Here is a 19291-nt window from a genome sequence, read left to right on the forward strand (position 1 = left end):
CTGGTCTCGAACCCCTGGGCTCAAGTGATCTGCCCGCCTCCGCCTCCTGAGTAGCTGGGATTGCAGGTGCATACCACCGTACCCAGTTGGTAAATGCTTCTTGAATAACCTTCCCCAACTAATGAAAAACTGGTTCCATTTCTGCCACAAAGCTATTTTTCCTCTTTCATGGACAAGAAAAATCTACATTATTATGTTCACGTTCCCCATATAACACAATTCAGTTCAATCCAGTGTAAACTGTGAATGTATACTTTGTCCATTTTTCACCAACCTGGTGCTTTTGAAATAAAATAAAACAAACAAGCAAACAAACTTTGACCTCCATTGTCCAGAATAGGTCAAGAGTCCACTGGCTGAGGGCTAATCACTCACCCAAACCATGAGAATCTTGCCATGAGAAAGGGTCCACGGAATTTAGTTACTTCATGTGTTCTGATTATGTAATAGAAGCAAAGCAGAAGGATGATGAAGCAGAAAGCACCACCCAAGACAACCAACAACATAGTTCCTTTTGTCACCACCCTAAGTCCCTTGGCATATAGAAGGTGAAACAAGCACAAAAGGGATGAGTGCATACAATTTGGGTTACCGTAGCCAAGGTTAAACTTATTTGCTCCCAGAGTCATTGCTTCCAAAATCTTGTCCCCCAAACTCAAAGAGTTCCCTCAGAACCAAGCAACAAGCAAACAACTCTAAGATAGATGTAATGTAGATAACAGAACCTGCGTCTAAAGAATTAATGGCAGCTGAATTGTTCACAGCTGAAGCTTAAGTTTAAAAAAAAAAAAAGGGTGGGGGGTAACCAGCAACCTGTTCTTTCTGCCTACAGACTCTTGATTCGTCTCTCTTCCATCCATGTCTACTAGCACTACCTAAGTTCACACCATTATTGTCTCCTGTTTGATTTACTCCAACAGCCTCCTAACTGATCTCCCTGCCTTCAGTCCCATCTGCCCCATACCACATCCATTCTCCATACTATATCCAAGAGGAAATCTTTCTAAAATGCCAAGCTGTCCATGTTATTTCTCCATTGAAAAGCCTTCAATAACTCTCCGCTGCCCTATGTTAAAATCAAAATTCCTGTGCATGGCATATGACTCTCCTGGCTTTTCCCCCCAGTCTCATCTTCTCAGCAAACTCTCCACCTCAGACTCCATCTTCGTCTCCAAACAGATGACGCTGCCTCAATGCCCCAGACTTGCCCTAGGCTGCTGCCTCCTCAGCCTAGATTGTGCTTTCACAACTCCAACAGGCCCTACAGAATGATCCCTCCTCTAAATGGATATGTACCTTTCCTTGTGTTTCCATAGTAAAAGGCACTTGCCTGTCTCACAGCACTAAAAATGGATTACAATTGTCTTCTGATTGTCTGTTTCCTCTACCCATTTCCAGACTAAGTTACTTGATGGCAGAGCCTGTAACTTAAGTCATTATATCTCCTATGAACAAATACTATAATCTAGGCTTGCTTCCCTAAAATATCAATCCCTGGAGAAACTCTCCAAGTCTATTACACCTCTTCATTATATCAATGAAGAGACTGAAGCCCAGCCAGGTGAAGTAAATTACTGAGGTCATATGATTAGGGGATGAGTTGGATACAGAACTCAGGCATCCAGACTCCAAAGCTGCCAAATCTTTGCATTCCCCAAATTCTTGTGCCTTTTTCCTATTCAATATCCACTAACTCTCGCCTTTAGATGGAAAAGGAAGGAAGGGAGATGGGGATATATATATATATATATATATATATATATATGAAGGAAGATGCCAGTTTCCCTTGCTTTCCTAGGGCATCATCAGAAACAGATTTTATCTTAAAAAAAAATTATCTGCCAGGCACAGTGCCTCACGCCTGTAATCCCAGCACTTTGGGAGGCCGAGTCGGGTGGATCACGAGATCAGGAGTTTGAGACCAGCCTGACCAACATGGTGAAACCCCATCACTACTAAAAATACAAAAATTAGACGGGTGTGGTGGCGCCTGCCTGTAATCCTAGCTACTCAGGAGGCCGAGGCAGGAGAATCACTTGAACCCGGGAGGCGGAGGTTGCAGTGAGCCGAGATCGCACCACTGCACTCCAGTCTGGGTGACAGAGCGAGACTCTGTATCAAAAAAAAAAAAAAAGAAAGAAAGAAAATTTAAAAAAAATTACCCATGTTTTAGTGTTCAATTTGGGGAAGGACAGCAAACATGATCCACGAGGGAAAAAAAGCTGCATTTCCTGAGCTAGTCCAACAGAGGGCAGCAACAACCAGCAAAGTGAATCACAGCCCAGTCAGTACAAGCAAAACGGTTTTAGAATCCAATACAACACTCAAACAGCAAGCTCAATTATTAAAATAGAAACCTGCTGCTACAGTATATTCAGAGTGTATTGTTTACTTAGTTAATACTATGTGTGTTCTTACAGATTCTATGTTGGCAAACAGCTTTGTTCAGTAGTCATTTTTTAATTGTATCATTAGTTGTGTGTATTCTCTGAAATATAGAATAAGTTCCTAGATCATGACAAGTTAACAACAACAACAACAACAACAACAACAACAACAAAAACACAGGAGTCCAGGGAGATAAATGCTACTGGAGCTTTATTTATGTATTAGGTCTCAGATATCCAAGATTCTTAAAATTAAGTCTCTAATCATCCTACCTACATCTAAATGCATCCACTTTCATCATTCTCCTTGTTTGCTGTCAATTCTCTTCTGGTCCCAAACCAAACCCTTACTGTCCTAGGCTGGCTGTGGTAAATATCTCACTTCCTGGCCCTTCTATTGAGTCCTCCACTAAACATTAGCACTTATACCTTTAACTACAAATATAGATACTGAAGGAAGCATAAATACAGAATGAATTTTTTTAAAATATCCAAATCTGGCTTAGGAATCCAGATTAATAGGAACTTTCAGGTAAAAGATGTCAGACTGAACCAAAACATCTAATTTCTCTCCTTCTTGAAACCTCACTAAACCTACAGAAAAGGTGTTTTTTAGAAAGTAAGAAGTGATGCAAGGAAAGAGCCTACAAGGTTGGGAAGAACAAAAGAGCAACTGCAAATTTTGAAGACTGGGACTAGAAGAACTAGAGGTATTAAATCCAACACATTACAGAAAGCTGAGTCCTAAACCGGAAAGAGCAATAACCAACCCATTACACTTTAAGGATCCTCAAAAGGCTTAGGAATAATTGGCACCAGATACCTATGGAAATGGGAGTTAAAGGAGGGGGAGGCTAAAAATAAGACTGGTTGGAAGCTGTTTAAGAAGCAGTTAGATCCCTAGATCATACCCCACCCCTCAACCATGCCATTGGGAAACTACCCTCCCTTCTTCCAGCAGAGGTCTGGAAGTTTGTTCTCAGAAGAGGGTAAAACGGAGGGTCTCTGGATTGGAGGATGCCAGGGTCCCTATACTAAAAAGAAAAGTAAACCTAGGCATAGTATATACTGAGACACTCAGCACTTTTCCCCCTCTAGTCTCTTAGAGCCCCAGCAGCCTGGCCTTTCCCCTTGAGACAGAAGGTTGGAAGTGTCTTCTCTGGGGAATCAACTTAAAGCTTGTGACATAGTCCAAGTAGATCACTTCAGAGCTCCATTGTCCAACATGTACCACTAGGCACATATAATTGTACAGCACTACTAAGGTGGCTAGTGTAAGTGAGGAGGAATTTATTACATTTTATTTAACAAAATTTAAATGGCAAATAAACTTACGAAAGAAGCTCAACATCATATGTCATCAGGTAAGTGTAAATTAAAATAAGATACCACTACATACCTACTAGAATAGCCAAAATCCACAACACGGATGATGCCAAATGCTTGCAAAGATGTGGAGCAAGAACTTTCTTTTCTTTTTTTCTTTTTGAGATGGAGTCTTGCTCTGTCACCAAGGCTGGAGTGCAGTGGCATGATCTCAGCTCACTGCAACCTTCTTCCAGGTTCAAGCCTCCCGAGTAGCTGGGATTACAGGCGCATGCCACCACACGTGGCTAATTTTTGTATTTTTAGTATGGGGTTTCACCATGTTGGCCAGGCTGGTCTGGAACTCCTGACCTCAAGCGATCTGCCCACCTCGGCCTCCCAAAGTGCTGGGATTTATAGGCGTGAGCCACCGCACCCAGCCGAGCAAGAACTTTCAATTCATGGCTGGTGGGAATGTAAAATGGTACAACCACTTTCGAAGAGTTTCACAGTTTCTTATAAAACTAAACATACACTAACATAAGATCCAGCAATCATGCTCCTTGGTATTTATTTATCCAAAGGAAGTGAAAACGTATGTCCACACCAAAAACCTGCAGAGAAATGTTTACAGCAGCTTTATTCATAATTGCCAAAACTTGAAAGCAACAAAGACATCCTTTAGTAGGTGAACAGGTAACTAAACCATGGCACATTCAGACAACAGAACATTATCTGTTGTCTTAGTGCTAATCTTAAGGGCATACTGCTAAAAGAAAGAAGCTGAACTGAAAAGGCTACATATGGCCGGGCGCGGTAGCTCACACCTGTAAACATGGCACTCTGGGAGGCTGAGACGGGTGGGTTACTTGAGACCAGGAGGTTGAGGCCAGACTGGCCAACATGGTGAAAACACCGCCTCTACTAAAAATACAAAAATTAGCTCAGCATGGTGGTGGGTGCCTGTAATCCCAGCTACTTGGGAGGCTGAGGTATGAGAATCGCTTGAACCTGGGAGGCAGAGGTTGCAGTGAGCCAAGATCGAGCCACTGCACTCCAGCCTGGGTGACGGAGCAAGACCCAGTCTCAAAAAAAGGAAAAGGCGGCCAGGTGCGGTGGCTCATGCCTGTAATCCCAGCACTTTGGGAGGCTGAGGCAGGTGGATTCCCTGAGGTCAGGAGTTTGAGACCAGCCTGGCCAACGTTGTGAAATCTCTTCTCTAATAACAATACAAAAATTAGCTGGGCATGGTGGCGGGTGCCTGTAATCCCAGCTACTTGGGAGGCTGAGGCAGGAGAATCACTTGAAACCGGGAAGCAGAGGTTGCTGTGAGCCGAGATCACGCCATTGCACTCCAGCCTGGGCGACAAGAGCGAAACTCCATCTCAAAAAAAAAAAAAAAGAAAGAAAAAAGGAAAAGGCTACATATTATATGTACCCAACTATATGACATTCTAGAAAAGGCAAAACTATGGAAAAAGTAAAGAGAACTGTGGTTGCCAAGGGTTGGGGGAGGCAGGTAGGGTAGGCAGGTTATGAATAAATAGAGCACAGAGGGTTTTTAGGGCAGTGAAAAATACTCTGTATGATACTATAGTGATGGATATATGTCATTCATGGATTGTACAACACTAAGAGTGAACCCTAATGTAAACTATGGACTGGGTGATGCTGATGTGTTAATGCAGGCTCACCAATTGCAACAAATGTACCACGCTAGTGGGGGATGTTGACAATGGGGGAGGCCATGCGATATGGTTTGGCTCTGTGTCCCCACCCAAATCTCACCTTGAAATGTAATCCCCATAATCCCCATATGTCAAGGGCGGGACCAGGTGGAGGTAATAGGATCATGGGGACAGTCTCCCCTATGCTGTTCTCATGATATCAAGTGAGTCTCATGAAATCTTATGGTTTTGTAAGCATCTGGCATTTCCCCCGCTTGCACTCACTCTGTCCTGCCACCCTTAGAAGGCAAAGCAGAAGGTGCCTGCTTCTCCTTTGCCTTCCATCATGATTGTAAGTTTCCTGAGGCCTTCCCAGCAATGCAGAACTGTGAGTCAATTAAACCTCTTTCCTTTATAAATTACCCAGTCTCAGGTATTTCTTCATAGCAGTGTGAGAACGGATTGATACACCATGCACGTGTGTGGGCAGCGATATATTGGAAATCTCTATACCTTCATCTCAATTTTGCTGTGACCCTAAAACTGCTCTTCAAAAAAAAGGCTTAAAAAAATTTTTAGGGACTGGCTGTGGTGGCTCACATCTGTAATCCCGGCACTTTGGGAGGCTGAGGCAGGTAGATGGCTTGGGCCCAGGAGTTGGAGACCAGCCTGGGCAACATGGCAAAACCTGCCTCTACAAAAATATTTAAAAATCAGCCAGGCATGGGCCAGCCGCGGTGGCTCACGCCTGTAATCCCAGCACTTTGGGAGGCTGAGGCAGGTGGATTGCGAGGTCAGGAGATCGAGACCATCCTGGCTAACACAGTGAAACTCGTCTCTACTAAAAAATAAATACAAAAAATTAGCCGGGCGTGGTGGCACGCGTCTGTAGTGCCAGCTACTCGGGAGGCTGAGGCAGGAGAATCACTTGAACCCGGGAGGCAGAGGTTGCAGTGAGCCGAGATCGCACCACTGCACTCCAGCCTGGGTGACAGAGCAAGACTCTGTCTCAAAAAAAAAAAGTAATAATAATTAGCCAGGCATTGTAGCGCTTGCCTGTAGTCCCACCTACTCAGGAGGCTGAGGTGGGAGGATCAGCTGAGCCCCCAGAGGTTGCAGCAAGCTGAGATCACATTGCTGACAACAGAGCAAGACAATCTCAAAATAAATAAATAAATAAATAAATAAAAATTTAGCGTCTCAGTTGAGATGTCTGTAAATGTAAAATAAACACTGCAATTCATAACAATATAAAAAAGTAAAATATTTCATTAATAATTTTTATATTTCATTCATATTGAAGTAATATTTTAGATATATTAATTTCACGTTTCTAAAACTAGAAAATCTAAACTTACAATGTGATTCACATTAGATTTCTATTGGATGGTGCTGTCCTACAGCAAAGCAACCAGCTTTCAAATCCTACCCACGCACCTAGAGTTTCCAATCTGCTTTGTAATCCCTCATTCTTAAACATGAGTAGACAACCCAGGATTATCAGACATCTGAGGAAAGATCCTAACATGAGAGAAAGCGGGGCTGGGGGAAGCAACTTGCCAAATAAACAGTATGCAACAAGAAGAAAGATGTTCTAAAAATCATTAATATCCACAACAAACATTCAGAGGAAAAAGAGGTCATTAGAAGTTTAAAATACAAGAACAGAAATGAAAACTCAATAAAAGGACTGGAAGAATTAAGGAAATTCCCCAAAAAGTACAGCAAAAAGATAAGAAAATTAGAAGACCAGTTTGGGAGGACCAATATCCAAATAATAGGAGAAAACATAAAATAGAGAGCAAGTTATCAAGGAAATAAAGAAAATTTCCCAGTATTGAAGGATAAGTCTCTAGCACAAAGGACAAAAATAGATTATTCAAAGGCATATAATGGTGAAATTTCAAAACACCGGAATACAAAGAAAATCCTACAAAATTCCACAGAAAGGATGAAAACAGGTCATATACAAAGGAATCAGAGCAGTTCTGGGTTTCTTAACAATAATATCAACAGCTGGGTGGCAATGGAACAAGGCCTTTAAAAATCTGAAGAAAAATAATTTCCAAACTACAAATCTATACCCAACAAAAACTATCAATCAAATGTCAGCTTAGAATAGACATTTTCAGACATTTAAGCTTTAAAAAATCTGTTCCCATATACCGCAGGAAGCTACTGTAGGACATGCTCCACCAAAATGAGGATGCAAACCAAAAAAGTGCAAGACTTGAAATACAGGAAATGAAACCTAACACATGAGGAAATTGAAGGAAATCCCGGGGATAAAGGTTCCAGGATGACTGTATGTGCCAGGTACAGAGAACCACCAGCTAAAAGGGAGCAATGAGACTTGAGCCAGACCCTTGAAGCCTGTCATCACCATCATCTGCTTTTGTTCTGGCTTTTAAAATTCACAACACCTGGGTGAATCTGACCCAGATGGTTGGCCTGTCTGGACCATATGTTAACAGTTTTTTTCTTTCCTTCTCTGCTCTACTACCTGGACTGTCAAGGATACTCATTCCCACACCACAGAACTTTCCCGCTTTGACTTATTCAGGAGACCCAGAGGTTGCATATGGTAAGCTCAGAAGCAGAAAATACAGAGCAGTGTACTCCCTCAACCTTATTCCTGTTGAATGTCTAGTACTTGGCCCTCACTGCAGGCCTGCCAGATGCTCAACTGTGGTGAACCCTGTTTCCCAGGCCTTACTTATGTCCTGGCCAAGTGATGTCCTTAAAATCTAGGTGCACTCGTAAACACTCACAGAATCTGAAGCTGGGCTATGACTCTGAGATGGTATTCAGTTTTTCTCTGCCTGGAAGACTCCATCTAACAGTGGCAATGCCAACTTTTATACACATGTTAGATTTTTGTTTCTTAAGTTTTATCTATTTCATTTATATGCAAATAATTATTAATGAAAACAAAATATTTTTAAAGGGGCAGAAAAACATTTATTCTATAGGAGTTTTTATGCAATAGAATTAGATGACTAGATAAATGTCTAAAGGTCATTAGCTGGTACAGGAAAATAATTTAATAGAATTGCATGTATTAAAATGAGCTTCTCTTCTCCAAAAGATTCTCAGTGCTATCAAATCTTACTTAAATCAATACAAATTGCTCAAAGGTACAGTACATCAAAAATAACAGCATCAAATATAAATATATTTGGCTGGGTTCTTCTCTGCACTAAGACCATCCATCAACATAAAAATTAAAAGCTGTCCCTTTACTCCCCTTCCAGAGAGTAATTCAAGTTCTGATTCAGTTACCACATCCTAATGTAATATGTGGTAAGATAAATCTTTTGGTTACCATCTACAGGAAATTAGAAACTTCCTAGATACTTTATAGTTTATAACAACAACAACAACAAAAAAGTCAAAAGACCCCAAGGTATTTATTCCCTGTAAGGTCAAGCTAATTAATAACTTAATGAGTTTGAAACACCCTGATTAATTATTATCAGAAAACATAAATGAAGTTTAAAACTTATTTTGCATATCTGGATTTGTTCTTGCAGTGGTGGTGGTTGTGTGTATTAATACTTCAGCTTTTTAAAAACGGTCCAATGGCAGTCTTCTGCACAGAGGCTCCCTCTGTTTGCTTAGTAACAGAATTCAATCTATTGTAAATTCAGGACACAAGAAAACTCATCCAAGAGACTGATTCACCTCTACTTGATTCTCTGAATCTTTAACTTTTCACTTTAATCAGAAAAAGGGCCCAGAGAATACTCAGACAACTAAGCATGGTCTCTTGGCACAGGATGCTCATGTAGCCAAGCAAAAGGTAATTGGGTAGTTCTTAGCAGCAGAGAGGTTAGCAGGGATCTAAAAAGAGAGTATGACTAAACATTACTCTGAACACAGAGTACATTCTACATAGCAAAAAGTGTTTCTAATTCCTACTTCTGTGCTTCACATGGACAGTTAATCATGGACGGTAATTGCAAGAACCATGTGGCCAGCACACGGGAAATATAAACCCACACTGTAAGCCTGTATTTCATTACTTTCTAAAGATTTTGTTAAGGCTAAGTTGTAATAGACAACTACAATTATATTTGAGTTCTTGGCTAAATGGACTACCACCAGAACAGCACAGCTGAATGCCACTTGGTCCTTACACTCTGACGATTCTAGGAGGCCCAGGATCCCTGGGAACTACAAAGGTTTTTGTGTTCTTGGCTCACTGCAACCTCCACCTCCTGGGTTCAAGTGATTCTCCTGCCTCAGCCTCCTGAGTAGCTGGGATTACAAGGCACCTGCCATCATGCCCAGCCAGGTTTTCTTATATGTATAATCACAACACAATTCACTAACTCCCTCGGTATACACTCCTACTTCTCTCTTTTCTGACATCCACCCTTGCTCATGGGCTAATTTAGTGTGAGGAACATGTTTAATGTGATAGGTGGAAGTCTAAGATGTCCCCCAAGATTGCTAGCCTGATGTACACACCCTGTATAATCATCAGGACTGTGAATATGATAGGATATCATTCCTGTGATTAGATTACATTTTAGGCAAAATTGACTTTTTTTTTGGTCTATGTTTTTTTGTTTGTTTGTTTGTTTTTGAGACAAGGTCTCACTATGTTGCCAGGCTGGCCTTGAACTCCTGAGCTCCAGCAATCCTCCTGCCTCAGCCTCCCAAGTAGTGGGGCCTACAGGCATATAGCACCATGCCTGGCTCAGGCACAACTGACTTTTAAGAAAGGGGAATCATCCAAGTGGGCCTGACCCAATCCCATGAACCCTTTAAATCTAGAGGTCAGAGACACAAGGATTCAGGATGCCATTTCTGGCATGAAGGTGGAGGGGGCCAAAAGGCAGATTATAGGCAGCCTCTGGGTACTGAGAACAGTTCCCCGGTGACAGACAGCAAAGAAATAGGAACCTCAGCCCTATAACTGCAAGGAACTGAATTTGGCAAACAATTTGAATGAACCTGGAGGCAGATTTTCCCCCAGAGCCTCCAGGTGAGAACTTAGCCCAGCCTGACATTTTGATTTCAGCCTTGTGATATTCTGAGATCCCAGATACACAATCCATGCCAAACTTCTGACCAACAGAACTATGAGCTAATAAGTGTGTTTGTTTTAAGCTAGTAAGTTTGGGGTGATGTTATAAGCAATAGGAAACCAATACATTAAGCAAACTGCTGAACTCTGGAATTTATCTAGAACTTCGCTAAAGGAAAAGGCTCATGAGTCCTGATTTTTATTTCTGGCTTCCTAGAAAACTACAAGTATGATTTTGAGCAAACATGCTTAATTCTTCATGCTTCAGTTCCCCCATTTATTAACCCCCCACATATACCTCTTACGACCACTGAGGTCATAAACAAAATGGAGTGGTGAGAGATCATTCTGTAAAGGCAAATGTGCTACAAGACTTCTTGTAAAATACACACCTGAAGATAGACTAGTGGATGCTTTATGCCAACAGTATGGCATAAGGAAAAAATCTATTCCTTGTCTATAAATCATATACTTAGCCACAATTCTTACACAAAAATAACTAAAGGACTCACTCAAGCCAGGTTCTAAATATTTTATACTAGAACTGCCTTTTTTTTCTTGTCCTTTGTAGGAACATGGATGAAGCTGGAAACCATCATTCTGAGCAAACTATTGCAAGGACAGAAAACCAAACACCGCATGTTCTCACTCATAGGTGGGAACTGAACAATGAGAACACCTGGACACAAGGTGGGCAACATCACACACCGGGGCCTGTTGTGGGATGGGGGGAGAGGGGAGGGATAGCATTAGGAGATACACCTAATGTAAATTACAAGTTAACGGGTGCAGCACACCAACATGGCACATGTATACATATGTAACAAACCTGCACGTTGTACACATACACCCTAGAACTTAAAGTATAATAAATAAAAATAAAAAATAAAAATAAAATAAAAATAAAATCTTAGACACAGAAAAAAAAAAAAAAGAACTACTCCCTCTTTTTTGAGATGAAGTATCACTCTGTCACCCAGGCTAACGTGCGGTGTGATCTTGGCTCACTGCAACCTCCGCCTTCTAGGTTCAAGTGATCTCCTGCCTCAGCCTCCCGAGTAGCTGGGATTACAGTTGCACACCACTATATCTGGCTAACTTTTCTATTTTTTTAGTAGAGAAAGGGTTTCGCCATATTGGTCAGGCTGATTTTGAATTCCTGACCTCAAGCGATCCATCTGCCTCAGCCTCCCAAAGTGCTGGGATGACAGGCGTGAGCCACCGCACCGGGACTATATTAGAACCTTCTTAACAGATCATTTGTTGTAACTTTTTCTGTGAACCAGACTAAATTGCATGAGGGCAAAATCATGTCTTATTCAACTGATGTGGCCCACATTTTAATAAATAAATTTTAAAATTAGCATCACTACAGGTTTAGGAGCATCATCCGAAACAGTATATTTATTCTTTCATTACTCTATTCAAATTGAGAAAAGTAAGGAAAAGTTTCAATTCAAGGTATATGACAGTACACTATGATTGTTACGAATAGCTCAGTAAATCAAACCTTCAAGAGTAATGTCTTTCCTTATGAATGAGACCAAGGAACCTTGACTGGAGCCCACAGGACAATAAGCCCTCAATAATGACAAAGTCTACCTATGGGTAAAATGGGAAATAAGTATCACTACAGCCAAAAATAATTTCCTTTCATATCCTAATCTACCTACCCAGAAAGAACAGGTAAGGTAAGGCATATGTCACTTAGAATCATGCAGAACAGAGAGATAAGGGTCCAGCTCTGATTAATTTCTTTATTCAGGATTGACACAGTTCCTTAGGGTACTGAGGCAACAGAGGGTCATAATAGGATCTTGAATTCAGTTACCATTGAGGCCTGATCTAGCTTTGCCACAAAAAAAAATTTTTTTTTTTGAGACGAAGTCTCACTCTGTTGCCTATGCTGGAGTGCAGTGGCGCAATCTTGGCTCACTGCAAGCTACGCCCCTGCGTTCAGACCATTCTCCTGTCTCAGCCTCCCGAGTAGCTGGAACTACAGGCGCCCATCACCTCACTCGGCTAATTTTTTGTATATTTAGTAGAGACGGGGTTTCACCGTATTAGCCAGGATGGTCTTGAACTCCTGACCTCGTGATCCACCTGCCTTGGCCTCCCAAAGTGCTGGGATTACAAGCGTGAGCCACCACGCCTGGCCTTTGCCACAAAATTTATCACATTTCCACTAAAGGAATGTAAAGTCAGGGTAAGCTTTTAAAAATCGACCACAGTTTCAGTCTTCCTATCTCTAGGGTTCTGTTGTCTCAGAGGACTAGTATGAAGAATAAATAATAAAACAGATATAAAGCACTTTGTTTTGCAAAGTACTTTGTAAAAGTTAAATAATATATGATGGAACCACTGAAACTGGCTAGTTTCCCTTCTTCAATTCCCACTCCTTAAACAGAAGTCAGTCAGAACTAAAGAAAATGAAATAATGGACAACTTTAAATGCACAGAAGAACTTTCCCTTCCATTTTCAAGGAATGGCCCAAAGACAACAGCAATTGAATCAACATTTCATCTAGCATTTACAGAGAAACAAACTAGATTCTGACATCACCACTTATTGGTGCCTGCAGCCTACACAGGCGTTGTGTAGAGTTGGAGTACCCACTTCAAAAAGAAAATAAAGGAAAGAAAAAGGGTACCTCAGAGGAAAGGAAGTCTAGAAGAGGGGCACAAAATGACCAGGAATTTAAAAATATAAACTATAAACCTAGAAAAGCTAAATGTGTTTAAGGGAAAGAAGGCTGAAGATTACCTAGCAGTCCCCAGAAATGGAAATGATAGGCTCATGTTCTCCATGACCACTGAGGAAAAAGTGCTGAAGGATTAGGTAAGACTGTAGCAGCTCCTCCATTTGGTTCAGAGTGCCTCAGCAGCCCCACAGCTAAACTAAGCACTGGAGAGTTAAACTCATTAGTTCCACAATGTATACATATATCAAAACATCATGTTGTATACCATAAACAATTTGTATGTCAATTATACCTCAATAAAGCTGAGAAAACATAAATAAATAATAAACTTGTTAGAATTCATACAACAGCCAACAAAGGAAACATAGTAAAAGACAGTCCAATATCTTTTATTCCTAATTAAAAGAGTTCTATCAATCTACCCCTGCCTTCCAAAATCAGCATCTTTTTCCTAACCCCACCCGGGAACAATGAAAGATTCTAGGCAGTGGCCAGTGTCAAGCACAAGTTAGAAATGCCGTATAAAGAACAGTAGTAACTGTAGTCCATTCTGTATTTCAATAATTTGCTTATAAATTTGAAATAATTTACTTATAAATGTAAAGCAACTAACTTAATGTCCTGCACAACTGTCTAAAACTGTTGGTGAGTCTGCTTTCCAATAAACCTTATTTCCCAATTATAATTAAAATGAGGGGAAAACTATCTTAATATTAGAATTGGATCCTCTAACAGGTCCAAAGTATCACTTCTCTAATAGTTCAAGAAGGCAAGTACCTTGGGGAAAGGGAAAAAGTAACTTTTTGCCTACAGCTCAGCTCATCCTAAAGCCCTGCAACTGGCAGCCGGCATCCTAGGTAGTTGATAGCCCAGAGGGAAGGAGGAAAGGCCACGCTGGTATCACTATTCCAGCACAGCAGAACAGGTAGAAACCGGGCTGAGGATGCTGCATTCCTCCAAGTCCATCCATACAAACTGCCAGTCCTTGCACTATAAAGCACACATGGTTTGGGCAAACAAGCTGCCAACAGAGAAAGTGCTCAGAGTCTGGAAGTCCTACTTTCCTATCAAGTATCACAAGGTGTAGCAGGCACACCGGTATCTTCTGCTGTTCAGAAGGTGAAAGCCAGCATGCATAGTCTGTCATTTGGTGACAGAACAGTAAGCAAAGCTTCCTTCCTTTCAAACATTCTAAGGTTCCAATACAACTTTTGAATACATATACAGGAAACAAAACATAATGTTAACCAATTTTTCCAAAATTTCAACATATTTCTCAAGCTTCAAATATTGATACTTGCTCTTCCTTTCTTACTAGGCCTCTCCCTCTGCTGCCTAAGCTTAGAGAAGACTATGATCACTCCTTTAAAAAAAGGGGTGTTGTCCATTCATTTAGAAATAGTCAGTGACTCAGGAATGCTGTTTCCCAATCGCCGTAGCAACTGTCTTCTCCTCCCATGTTATGATGTGAGTAGCAGGACATCTACTCTTCCTCAAGGGTGGGCATGTGTGTGACACACCCAAAGCCTAGCAGACAGCAGGAAGTTTCTGCAACTGCTACCGCTTCTACATACAGGCACCAAGTATGAGGACACCTTGTTTTAAATCCCATTCCTAAAGTCCTTTCATTTCTAAATAATCTCTTTTTTGTATCCTCACACCACTCCTGAATACCCAGAAATAATCCTACCCCTACTGACAACCGCTTAACTAATCCAAAAATTATACTACTACTCAATAAGCCAGACTTGATCCTACGAAACCACAGAAAATATTTTTTGGCCCGGTACACATTCAGAATAAGATTTTGAAAAAATCTTAGGGAGGAGGGGAGATGAGCATGAAGATGAAATCTTATTATTTCTCTACCACCAGAAATATAAGTGTTAAAATAAGGTTGTTCTGATACTTCTAGCAATTGTACTTGTGTTGAACTATGTTCTAACACAAACACACACAGAATTTCATGCCAAAGTACTTAGGATCTAAAGAAACTTCCATATATCATGTACTGTTCTCTTTGGTTCTAACCATTAAAAAAAATTAATTTCTGAAAAACAAAGTATGGGACTGTTTTACTCTTTTTATATACATTTGTATTTTCTTAGAAAAAAACTATCACTTTTAGAATACACATACATTTCCATTTCAAATTAAGGTGGCAATTTTCAAAGATTAGAAAGCTGGAAAATTTTTATGACACTATTTTAAAAGCAAAAAACATCTGTAAACTATAAAGGCAATGTTGTAAAAATATTTGTGCATAGAGATAATGACTAAAATATACAAAGACTGTAAAATAAAAATGAAAAATAGAAATTTAGGGTTCTTACGTATTGTTTCAAAAATATATATGTGTTTTCAAAAAAAAAGCACACACAAAAAATCATTAGCACATCATCTAAAAGCAAAACATCATCATCCAATTACCATAGGCAAAATGCCTATCAGTATTTACTCTTCTCCAGTGGTATTTTGCTTAAGGAAACACTCCTGACAAGGCACAGTTACAAAGTTTAGGTATGACAATGCAATGTGAGAAAGAATACTGAGAAGAATATTAGTGGAGTCTAAAACCTAGGTCATCTAATTACACGACTTTGAGCAACTTAATACCACTAGGCCTCAGTGTCCTCCTAATTTTAAGAGGCTGGGTCAGATCATTTCTAGGGTCTCTTCCGACTCCTTAAAGACTATACTTAGGTACTACTGCTCTTTTTGAGGGCAGCCCAATGCCTGCTGCTTGCCTGATAATACATATCCTACAGTGGCTTCTCACCACTTCTTCTTGCGGTTTCAATCACAGGAAACAGACGTCACCCACAGACCTAGAAGTAAGTAACGAACAGCCCTGGCGGATGCAAAGAGCTGCCAACTAAGACCAACTCCCATCTTTTAAAAATACAAGAATCAAGAAAGAAATCACTAGAGACCTCTAAGCCTGACACACATCTTTCACAAAAACTAAGAAAACTAAAAATATCCCTCTAGGCCCCATGCAAAATGAAATAATTTTAGAATAGTCCAAAACTATTTTGCTTCTATTGCCAAATGAAGGAACTGAAGGAATTCTTATAGCTCTGGGTGGGAGTATATGTGCTTATGAAAAAAATGGTGCACTCCTACTGCCACTAGTACTTTTTGTGGATATCCAGACATACCCTGAGGACTTGAAAACTCTTCCTTGTTCTCTTCATTTAATACTCAATGTAAACCTTTCTGTAGCCATTAAAGATCATATTAATAGATTCAAATAATATGGGAACTTAGCAATTATTCACTTTAAATGTATGTAACAATCCCTAAGGGCACTGAGTCAAATCCTGCTTTCATTTTTATTTATTTATTTATTTTGAGACAGAGTCTCGCTCTGTCGCCCAGGCTGGAGTGCAATGGCACAATCTCGACTCACAGCAACCTCCACCTCCTGGGTTCAAGCAATTCTCCTGCCTCGGCCTCCCGGGTAGCTGGGACTACAACTGGGCACCACCACGCCTGGATAATTTTTGTATTTTTAGTAGAGACGGGGTTTCACCATGTTGGCCAGGCTGGTCTTGAACTCCTGGCCTCAGGTGATCTGCCCACCTCGGCCTCCCAAAGTGCCTGCTTTCATTTTTAATAATAAAAGTTGATAGCCTTACACTATGTAAAATAACATAAGAGTTTTTTTTAATCCTACAGACATGTTCTTTCATTAAACACAAGTCAAAACTATCTCTCCAGAGATGAATAATAATCTCTTCTCAACAGAGTTCTTCTGGTCACATATAGTTACATTAGTGATTCTCTCTGCCCCATAGTTACTTTGGTGAGAGAGAATTAATGTTTTCAAAACTGTCAGTCTCCTATATTAGATCACAGAAACAGAGAGCCTTGAAAATAATCAAGATTCCCAAGGCTATTAAAAAAAAAAAAAAAGGAAGCAAACCTTAAGATGAGAAAAAAGAAAAAGATTCCCAAGGTTAACATTAAAACTAAAATATAAAATACATAAAGGATATTAACTAACATGAGCTAAATACTACCACTACTCTTAGAAACCTTACAATCTAGATGGGAGATAAGACCCCAAAATAAGATATAAACATATATTTTTGCATTCAAGAAAGACAGAAGAATACTTCAAATAAGTATGCAATCAAAAGCTAAATCGTACTGTATTAAAGAACATTTAGAAGAAACAACAGGGCCCAAAGATAGACTCAGATTGTTTCAACAATGGCATTACCTATCTGAGCCCATAATTTTCTTATACATCCTTGAGATCCAGCTGAAGAGTCACGCCTTTTAAAATCTAATTTCTGAAAGTCTAAAAAGATCGATGTATTAAAATTGGTAAGGACTGAAAATCAAATAAACTTAACTTTTTAAACTCCATCTACGTAGCGGAAATAACTTGCTGAAAACTGACCTTAACACTATTCCTTCTTGGATATTCCAATGTACTTACTGTCACCACCACTTATCACATGGCCAAAAACGGACATCAACATGTATTACAACCTGTTACAAAATGTTAAATTTCAATCCTGCTTTCTGCAGGTTTTTATAGAAAGGGAACCTTAAAGCCCTTACCAGGGATAAAATAATTTCTATGAAGTGGCTTTACCTTTCTTAAATGGTTCTACTAAACCTCATATAATTGCTATAATCAGGCCATTTCTCTTTACTACAGCCACATATTCACACCTAAGCCTTTGTTCTACTGCTCCCCATCTCATGAATTCTTTCCCTCTCTACTCTGCCAAATCTTGGATTTTATTCAAGGCCCAGTCATATCCCCCATCTTCTAGGAAGCTAAGTTAACACTGCCCGCAATTACATTCTGGGTCATTTACAGTATCTGGGGCATTAGCAGAGATGTTAGAAATGATTCATAATAACCCCCTAATTTTACAAAAGATAAAAAGATGAAGAAAAGTAAAATAACTTGCTTAGAGTTCACATGGTTAATTAGTGGTAAAGACACAACTAAGCAGCTACATATGGAAAGAATAATTCAGACAGGGTGGGAGATAAAGGTTCTATTTCTAGTTTTAAATTTGGACAGATCACTTGTCTAGTCAACATTTCTTAATCTATAAAGTAAAGGGGTTGATAGCTGGGCCCGGTGGCCTGTGCCTGTATCCCAGCTACTCTGGAGGCTGAGGTGGGAGGACTGCTTGAGCCCAGGAGTTCCAGGCTGCAGTGGGCCATGACTGCACCACTGCGCTCCAGCCTGGGCAACAGAGTAAGACTCTGACTCTTAAAAAATAAAAAATAAAGGGGTTGAATTAGATAATTCTTAGCATCCTTTTGACTCCAGCATTCTAAGATTTTGAAACTTAGGCCTTCTGTCAGTCCAATAGCCTTTCCACTTAATTCCCTCACTTCTATGAATTTCTACAGCATTTAAAGTCTAAGATCACAGCCTTAGAGCTTTTTCTATCCCTCTTTTATAGACGTGGTTGAAATTACAATTTCTTAAAGAGCAAGAACTGAACCTGATAGGACAGTCTCATGACTTCTTGGTCAGTCTTTGGATCTAGAGTAGATACATGTAGACTCAGGAAATCAACAGAAACTCTTCCCTACTCCTCACCACTAGTCACCAGAAACAAATCCCAGTTCCAGGTACTTGGACCTCTGTGGCAATGTCTTAATTATTAACCACTGGCAAATAACTGCCAGGTCTAAAGAACAAACTTCAGCAGTTCCCAGACTCAGAAGAGATCCTGGTTATTAGCCATTTGCAATCATTACAACAGTCAAATTTCAGGAGCACAAACAGAGGTCTTTAAGAATACCAAACGTCAAATTTAAAATATAAAAAGGATAACTATAGAGACAGTCTAGTAACAGCTTCCCCCTTCCTGTAACATTGTTACCACTACTTGTGGCTCTCAGCAATTTAAACAACTAAAACTCCTGACAGGTGATGATGTTAGAGCTGTTCTACTTACAAAGGAGACACAGTTACATTAAAAAATAATAATTTAAGCATCATCCTAATAACGCATGAGCCAAGCGAAAGATAGGTTTTGCAAGCACTGTAATAGCTATTTTTTCATGCCTAAAAAAGGTTTAATTAAGATTCTTCCAATGGCTTCAAAGTCTAAATTACTAAATGCAAAAAAAAAAAAAAAAAAACAGGCATTTAGCCACTACGCTTTTTACATCTAAGCCTAGTACTTTTTTCCTGCCAACTGAACTCTA

General features: G+C 40.0%; 1 protein-coding gene across 4 annotated transcripts in view, besides 2 other annotated features; it reads right to left on the bottom strand.

Moving 5' to 3' along the window:
- DIAPH1 (diaphanous related formin 1) overlaps positions 1-19291 on the bottom strand; it is a 103980-nt gene that overhangs the window by 74942 nt on the left and 9747 nt on the right. The window lies entirely within an intron of this gene.
- Positions 7935-7984: an enhancer, noted in NCBI's record as "active region_23307". NCBI's record gives its function as "activates an Ori minimal core promoter by ATAC-STARR-seq in GM12878 lymphoblastoid cells {active_cell/tissue: GM12878}" and the evidence as "EXISTENCE:reporter gene assay evidence [ECO:0000049][PMID:35858748]".
- Positions 15674-15753: an enhancer, noted in NCBI's record as "active region_23308". NCBI's record gives its function as "activates an Ori minimal core promoter by ATAC-STARR-seq in GM12878 lymphoblastoid cells {active_cell/tissue: GM12878}" and the evidence as "EXISTENCE:reporter gene assay evidence [ECO:0000049][PMID:35858748]".

Source organism: Homo sapiens, chromosome 5, assembly GCF_000001405.40.
Source record: "Homo sapiens chromosome 5, GRCh38.p14 Primary Assembly".
Lineage (NCBI taxonomy): Eukaryota > Metazoa > Chordata > Mammalia > Primates > Hominidae > Homo > Homo sapiens.